Here is a 7,286-nt window from a genome sequence, read left to right on the forward strand (position 1 = left end):
AAGTTAAATGCTCTCTTCTCTCTTTGACCTTCAGGCACCCTCTTGGATCTCTTCTAAGTGAACTTTCCTTGCTTTCCTGTTCTAAAGCCTTTTTAAACAAACTTCCACTCCTGCTCTGAAACTTGCCTTGGTCTCGTTTTCTGCTTTATGCACGTCAGTCTAATTCTTTCTTCTGAAGAGGCAAGGACTGAAGTTCCTGCAGACCCCTACAGATTTGCCACCAGTAACTCGGGGTAACTCGGATCTCTTCCACCGCTAACGTTACCAGTGTATTACAAGGATATTACAAGGGATACAGATAATGAGATGCAGAGGGTGGAGTATAAGGAAGGGATGTGGAGCTCTCATGTCCTCTCCAGGCACCACCCTCCAGGGACCTCCATGTGTTCAGCTGTCTGAAGCTCCCTGAACCCGGTCCTTGTGGGGTTTTACGGAAGCTTCATTATGGAAGCACGATTCATTACCTTCTTGGCCTTGGTGATCAACTCAACTCAACATTCAGCCCCCTCCCCAGCCCTCCCCAGAGGTCCAGTTGGGTGGAGCTGAAACTGTCAACCCTCTAATCACATGGTTGGTACCCCCGGCAACCAGCCCCCATCCATAGTCTGTCCAGGATCCCCCTGCCATCAGTCAACTCATTAGCATACAGAAAGTCACTCATCCTCTTGGAGATCCCAAGGATGTGGGGAGTTGTGTACAGGGGTTGATGGGTCTGACTCTTCTCATCACCTGCTTCAGGGCAAGGCAAGGCTTGACTCAGGCCTGGGCAAGCACCGCATTCCATCCCCTGATTACAAAGATTCCATGGTGGGGAGTGGTGGGTAGCATGTGATCCAAACAAAGGAAGCCTGGTTCTGCCTCTTCTCTTGAACTTTTAGGAAAGAGAAAACCCATTCTTTCCATTGGACTTAAAGACATAAGCATGGGGCTGCTGGAGTTACCATAGTCAACTCCTGTCAGAGAATGAAACCTGCGGCAGGCAGAGCCACAAAGAGAGAAAAGACTGATTCCTGGAATTCTTGATGACATCGTTCACAATGCTGGATCCAGCCCCAACTGAAACCATTGTGAAACTGTCTCCACAGGGTTGACAATTGCATCCTGGGTTCTGGACAGAAATAATTATAATTAAGCATTCATCAGGCTGCCCTTAGGCCCACTTCCTTGTTACTAAAAGTCACTTAGCACTAGATACTGATCATTTGCATACCATTGTTCCTATAGGCGAGATCCCGGACATTAGAATCATAAGGCTTTTATTTAATTCAGATGTATTTCAGACCTGAATTCCAGCGACCAGTTTGAAGACCCCCAGAGAAGAAACAAAATCGGCTTTGCAAAATTATAGCTGAGGAAATTATGACAGTGAAAGAAATAAGACCTGACTGACTCCATCTTGCTTCTAACCTTTAAGCTGTCCTTGTTCATTCCTGGGCGTGGGCTAAACTAACTTTGGGAAGGAATTCAGTTCGTGGTTTGACTCTGCAACAAAATTGGTAACAGCCCTTTCCTGAAAAGACCCCCTTCTTGCCTGGGGTCTAGTTTGCCTTTCCAGGACTAACAAATTAGCTACAAGATTAGAAAGTACAGTTTAGGGCTCATGCAGCCTCTGGCTTCAAGAGTCTTAATTGCCCCAAATTGCTCCTGGAGAAAACATCACTATTGTAAAATCTAAGATCAGTGCCTGAGGTATTTTGCAGACCCTGCACTGGATGGATCAGCTGAACTGGCTCAACCAGTTCCGCCATCCCACCCAGGAACAGAAGACGGCAAGAAAACCTCCTTCGACCCCCGCTGATTCCATCTCCAACCTGACTAATCAGCTCTCCCCACTTCCCAAGCCTCTAACTGCCAAATTATCTTTAAAAACTCTGATCCCCAAATGCTTAGGGAGACTGATTTGAGTAATAACAAGGCTCTGGTCTCTTGCACAGCCAGCTCTGTGTGAATTACCCTCTCACCATTGCAATTCCCCTGTCTTGATAAATCGGTTCTGTCTAGGCAGCAGGCAAGGTGAACCCATTGGGTGGTTACAGAAAGGGATCCACGTGAGAATACAGCTTCTTCCTCTCCCTCACCCATGACTTCACCCTGCACTCCTCGACCAATCAATGATACCTGTACTTTGGCCTACTCCAAAACCTGAACCCCAGATTCCTAGGGGAGGTGGAGTTGAGGTTTTCTCCCATCACCTCATTCAATGACCCTATGATGAAACCTCTTTCTCTGCTGCAAGCCGGTGTCTTGGTGTATGGACTGGTTGTGTGTGTAGGGCAATGAACCTATTATGGTTACAATCACCTCCCCCTGGGTTTCTCAGTTATGCCAAACGATGAATTCCTCACTTTTCTGCAGCCAGTTAGAGGTGGCACCTTAGTCCCTTTAATTTCACTATGTCCTGGCTGCTACGCAGCTCTTTTTTCCAGATTTGCCTGATGTTCTGCCCACCAAACTAAGCTGCCCCCAACTGATGGCTTAAGCCTGGATTAAACTAAGCTACAAACAGCTGAATTCCTCGAGAGTGGCCAACCTAGCCTCTCTTGTGTGACAGACACTCAAGATTCAACCAGTGACACCTCTTTTATTTCTCCAAATTCACTTAAGGTCCAGTGTCACCCTCTTGGAGATCTCTCTGCCCGCTTCCCTGGATTACCTATGAGCCCTGGGGCATGGCAGGAAGGTGACCTGAGCAGGAGACAGCGCACTGAGATTTGAAGGATGAGTCTGCATTGTTCTTGTTACCGAACCAAGCTTGAGTCCACCCACCTCGGTGCAGCAAAGCCAAACCCTGACATCAGGATTTGCAGCGAGAGAAAGTGAGGCATTGATTGCAGGGCTCCAGGCAAGCGGAATGAGGCAGCTAATGCCTAAAACCTGAACTTCCCCATGGCTTACATTGTAAGTGTTTTTCAAGGTGAGGAGACAGAATTACAGGCAAAGTCATAAACTGACACATGGAAGTTGCACATTGGTTTAACTTAAAAAAGCAAAGCATCTCCAGCAGGGTCTACAAGTCAAAGGTGAATTCAAAGATTCTTTCATTTGTGTTTGATTAAGGAAGCAAAAGTTTTTCTAAAAAGTTGGGGTCAACAGAAAGGAATGTTAAGCCCTGGGCTCTGAATATGACTTCCTCCAGGCCTCTCGGGCAGAAATTTAGAACAAAGAATGGGAGGGTCACCATTCAGTCCTTGGTTCCTTCTTATCTGAGGTCTCTGTGCCAGCAGATGCCATCTTCCATGTGATGGGGGTCTGGGTTTCTGAAAAATAATTCAGGGACATATATGGAGATGTTATCCTTAGTTTCTATAGGAAGCCGAACATTTTGTGGCTCTAACTTCCTGGGCTATTATTTTCAGCTATTATTACCTTCTCACGTATCAGGTTGCTCATTTAATTTTCAAAGCTAGTGAGGTGCCTGGAATTTCCCTTGAAGGAACTCAAGGTTTTCCTTTCATTCCATGCCTGGGGAAGCCCAGCGGGCTCCTAAGAGGGGTCCTTGTGTAGCAGGACGAGCCACAGACAAAACCTCTCAGACACTGAGTTGTAGAAGGAAGGGCTTTATTCAGCTGGGAGCATCGGCAAGCTACTGTCTTAAAATCCGAGCTCCTCAAGTGCACAATTTCTGTCCCTTTTAAGGGCTCACAATGCTACAGACTTCACATGAAAGGGTCGTGATTGATTGAGCAATCTAGGGGATATGTGACAGAGGTTTCATGCCCTGGTAGTCAGAGTGAAACAGAACAGGGCAGGGAGTATCACAATGTTCCTTCATACAATGTCGGGAATCTATGGATAATATCGGTTTCTAAGTCATGAGTTGATTTTTAACTACTAGGTTTAGGCCAGGCAGGCCTAGGTCCGGTTTTGGGCCTGGCGCGGGGCTGCCTGTCTTTGATTTCACTTCCTTGTTTTTTTCTTAAAACAGGTACTGAGTATAAAACAATATAAAACAATATGAGAGGGTCTCTCTCTTCCCTCACTTGCTCCATCACATTTTATCAAAGGGAGCAGGAGGAGTGCATTTCAGGGGAATATCAGCTTGTGTGAAGGAAGACACAAATGAGAGAGCAGGGGAAATGGCTTGGAGTTTTAAGGTAGAGTGCAGGGAGTCCAATAGCATTTTTAAAAGATTTTCCACTAAAATATCATAAACATAGAGACAAGTGTGCGTGGCCTAAGTACAAAGCTCGATGAATTCTCACCAAGAGAACACATCCAGGTCACACACATATGGATCCAGAAACAGAACACAACCAGGAACCCGTGAACCTTCAGGTCCCTTTCCAGTCACCGTGCTTCCCAGGGCAATGTCTATCCTGACTTCTCACACCCACTTCAGGGCGTAATTTTGCCTACTTTTAACTTCATGGAAACGGAACCAAATAACTTGTGCTCTCTAGTGCCTGGTTTCTCTCATTCAACACTGTGAGATGCGTCCTTATCAACAACACACGTAGCTGTACGTCGTTTGCTCTCATTGATATAAGGCAGGGGTCAGCAAACTCTTTTTGTAAAGAGCGACAGTAAATATTTGAAGCATCACTGGTCCTTTGATCTCTGTCCCAGCTCAATTTTTCTGTTATGACATGAAAGCAGCCATAGGAAATATTTAAATCAATGAATGGAGCTGAATTTTGTAAATAAAATTTTGTAAGTCTCATTCATCGAATGAACTTTATTTTGTAAATAAAGTTTCGATGAATGAAACTTTATCTACAAAAATTGGCAGCCTGGATTACAAACATAGTTTGCCAGCTCCGTGCTCTACAGTATTCTGTTGTGTGAATATACCACCATTTGTTCATCTCATCTACTGATGAACTTCAAGGTAGGCTTTAGTTTGGGACGACTTACGCATAGTGCTGCCGTGAACATTCTTGTACGTGTGTTTGTTGAACGTGTCCACATTTCTGTTGGGTATGTTCCAAGAGGTAGGATTGCTGGGTTGAAACTTATACATCTGTTCAGCTTTAGAAGATGCTGCCAAACAGTTTTGCAAAGTGGTGGTACCAGTTGCATCTCTCCCTCCCCATGACCAGCAGTGGATGCATGTTCCAGTTGCTTCACTTCCTTAATGTGTGATGTTTTCACCTTAACCTTTCAGGTGGATGTGTACTTGTATCATTTTATGGTTTTAATTTGCATTTCCCTGATAAATAATGAAGCTGAGCAGTTTTTCATATGTTTACAGCCATTTGGGGTATTGGCTTTGTGAAATGCCTGTTCCAATAACATTTGATACCTTTAACTTGCATAAATTACATTCTGCCTTGAAAATAAATCTGGCAGTCTCCTTTGGAGCGTTTGGTCTTCTTTCTTATCTAAACTTAGGAGCTTTTAAGGGATGATGTTGTGCATATGTTACTACTTTTTCTTTAATTCCAGAATCTAATGTGAGATGTTTGCCCTCTCAATGTCTGTTTCAGGTTCTTTTTCCCCTTAAGAAATTTTGATCTTGTTCTTGCATGTGTCACTAACTGTTTTGAAATTCAGAGATCCAAGAGGCCTGAACTTTCAGAAATCACGGTTTCACAGAGTTTAGAAGGTGAGAGCCTTTCTGAGCCTCAGACAAAGAGGGCTTGAGGATATACACTGAGGACATCACTGAACAGGCCATCACTGAACTTGAACTTGACATCACTGAACCAGCCCAGGCATCTGAGTCTAGGTGTGAGAGTAACCTCATTCCTCTATCTTCCCTCTCTTCTTGCTCTGGGTTCTGAAGATCCTCAATGAATAATGGCAAGTTATACTAGTCAGAGGAGAGAAAATTTTCAAATGGGGCAGGTTGAGAATAAATCTGGCTGAGCGAAGAAAATTAATTAGTAATAGTAAATATAATTTGGCAGATTCTGAAGTAGCTTACTGTATTAGTCCATTTTCATACTGCTATGAAGAAATAACTGAGATGGGGTAATTTATAAAGAAAAAGAGGTTTAATGGACTCAGTTCCACATGTCTGGGGAGGCCTCACAATCATGGCAAAAGGTGAAGGAGGAGCAAAGGCACATCTTACATGGGGGCAGCAAGAAAACATGTGCAGGGGAACTGCCCTTTATAAAACCATCAGATCTCATGAGACTTATTCACTATCACGAGAACAGCACAGGAAAACCCGCCCCCATGACTCAGTTACCTCCCACTGGGTCCCTCCCACGAAACATGCAAAACATGGGGATTATGGGAGTTACAATTCAAGATGAGATTTGGGTGAGAACACAGCCAAACCATATCACTTACTGTGTGTGTGTGTGTGTGTGTGTGTGTGTGTGTGTGTGTGTGTGTGTGTGTGAGAGAGAGAGAGAGAGTGAGAGATTGAGAGATTGAGAATGTGACTGATAGCTGTCATATAACTATGGATTCTGCAATGCATATAAAGCCTGTTTGCCCTGTGGTCCAGCCTGATACACAGTCTATAAAAAAAAAATTGTTTACCAACCCCAAACTAATTTAGGGTAATTTGAATCTTTATTGGAGCCTTCTGAATAGCATATCAAAGAAGGAACCCATCCATAATATATAATAAAACCTCTTTTTAAAAGTTCTTTTCCAATTCTTCTTTCTTCAACACACAATAGCTGCCACGAAGTTATTTTCTGTTTTTCATTTCCACATTTATACAACATGAAACAAACAAAAACCCTATCTCTAATCCAACCTTCATGGGCTCTTTCATTTTTGATTCCTCTTTCTTATTTCCCTAAATCTATTCTTCTCCCCCTAGTAGTTTTTAGTTTTCTCGTTTTCTACTGTAATTCCCACGAGTCCCTCCTCATCTCATCTCCCTTATTGACTATCTCAATTGATAAAGAAAAGGTCCAGTAATCAATCAGACAGGATTCCTTCTCAGAGGGTGGAAGATGAGAGAAAAGACAAAGCTGGTAGGATTGTCTTTGGTATTTAAGATAAAAGAGGCTATGAGTCCTCTCTTGCATATGTTCATCCTTGTCACCCTTACGTTCTGGGTCCATGCAAGTACATTTCTTTTTGCATTTTTTAAAAAAACAAAAATTAAGTTGCTTTTAGAGGAGACATCTCTTATTTGAGCCTCACAAGTAAGGACAATGAGTCAGTGACCACTGTGGACACTTCCATTTAATGCTTCCACTCACCAAGGACTCATCATGGGACAAGTATGGCACAGGTGAGTGTCGGGGTATCCATAAGAACCCTCCCAGATTCTGTTATTTTCCAGGAGTGCTCATAAGACTCAGCATATAGTTTTGCACATGGCTATGACTTTTATAGTGAAAGGATACCGAGCAAAATCAGTACATGGAAAAGGC

The 7,286-nt window shown here is 43.6% G+C and overlaps 1 annotated feature.

Moving 5' to 3' along the window:
* Nucleotides 342-1,541: an enhancer, noted in NCBI's record as "BRD4-independent group 4 enhancer chr20:49874837-49876036 (GRCh37/hg19 assembly coordinates)". NCBI's record gives its function as "activates an origin of replication core promoter dependent on BRD2, P300/CBP, MED14 and CDK7 cofactors, and independent of BRD4, by STARR-seq in HCT116 cells {active_cell/tissue: HCT116}" and the evidence as "EXISTENCE:reporter gene assay evidence [ECO:0000049][PMID:35650434]".

The sequence above is a fragment of the Homo sapiens genome, chromosome 20 (assembly GCF_000001405.40).
Source record: "Homo sapiens chromosome 20, GRCh38.p14 Primary Assembly".
Lineage (NCBI taxonomy): Eukaryota > Metazoa > Chordata > Mammalia > Primates > Hominidae > Homo > Homo sapiens.